The sequence below is a fragment of the Homo sapiens genome, chromosome 8 (genome assembly GCF_000001405.40).
Source record: "Homo sapiens chromosome 8, GRCh38.p14 Primary Assembly".
NCBI lineage: Eukaryota > Metazoa > Chordata > Mammalia > Primates > Hominidae > Homo > Homo sapiens.
Window position 1 is genome coordinate 96620874 of NC_000008.11, and position 1327 is coordinate 96622200.

Consider the following 1327-nt stretch of genomic DNA (forward strand, 5'->3'; position numbering starts at 1 on the left):
CTTTTAGCATCAAATACTTTTTTTTCCCCCAGTTTATGTTGAGAAACAAGTTCTCAGCAAACCACATTCAAAGTCTATTTTGCATCCTAATGTCCACTCTGAAAACCTCAGCACTATGGATCAAGGCTCCACCCATCCCAAACTTGAGTTTAACAGTTCTGCACGCAAGCTGGTGGTTTGTGGGATCATCTTGCTGGGTTATATGTGCTCATTTTCACTTTACTCTGACATTGCATTTATATATAACTCATGACTGATGTCCTGGGCCTCACTGTGTGACAAGTCGTTTAACCATTCTGAGCCTGACTTTCTAAAATGTCAGTGGAATAGAAGATATTGATACCTTACCTCCCCTTGCTTGCTAATGAGTGGATCACTGGGGTGTAAGGAAGGGCCTGACAGGCATTGATGATGTGGGAATACTTGACTTATAAATTACCCATACTTCTGAACAGCTGTTATCCCCACATCAGAGCTGCCCCAGCCATTGATTTCATCAGGGCCTCCCACACTGTCGCTGAAGCCTCTCTAGTATCTACTTCCCCTCTCTGCTCTCTGTATCGTTCTCCTGTCCTCTTCCCCTACTCCCTAGACTCCTCAGCGCTCAAGATTGAGGAGTACTCAGAGACAGAGACAAGGTCACTGGAGCAGAGATGACAAATATCTGGTTTTTGGTCTTCTTTTCCTATTTCTTCAGACATCATTAATTGATTCTAGTATGCACTCCTTCTAAGGCCAACCTCAGAATTCTTCTCCAGACAGGGATCCCTGCAGCCACAAGTAATCAGTTGGAATTGGGTTGGGAGATTAAACTTATCTACCATCTTCTATCTAGAGGGACACTGGTATTGGGGCCACAGTGGCTCTGAATCAGCCATGTTGTGAGTTAAATAGTTTTGGTCTACTTAGATAGGTTGACCTAAGGAACCAAACCTAACCTTAATACTGTAATACTGTTTTGGGGGGAAACACATTTGGAACTTGAAACATTATCTTAGAAGGGAGCTTTTGGAAAGCCACTGGCACCTAAATCAGAGTTCACCTGTACTTGGTTATGGCATGATGAGAGTGGCACGTGGGTAGAGGCTGAGAGCATGGACTGCTTGGTTGTAATCCTGGCTGTGCCTCTTAACTGGCTGGCTGACTGGGCAAAGTTAAAGTTAACTAACGTCTCTGTGGCTTACTTCTTTTGTCTGTAAAATAGAGATGTTAATAGGATCATCCTCCTCATAGGATTACTGTGATGATTAAAAATACATTATTTGTAAAGCACTTAGAACAATGCCTGGCATACAGAAGGTTTTTTTTAATTTTTATTTTTATTTAT

The 1327-nt window shown here is 42.3% G+C and overlaps 1 annotated feature.

The window, feature by feature from the left end:
• Positions 388–682: a silencer, noted in NCBI's record as "tiled region #4348; K562 Repressive DNase matched - State 5:Enh". NCBI's record gives its function as "represses a minimal TATA promoter and a strong SV40 promoter by Sharpr-MPRA in K562 cells {active_cell/tissue: K562}" and the evidence as "EXISTENCE:reporter gene assay evidence [ECO:0000049][PMID:27701403]".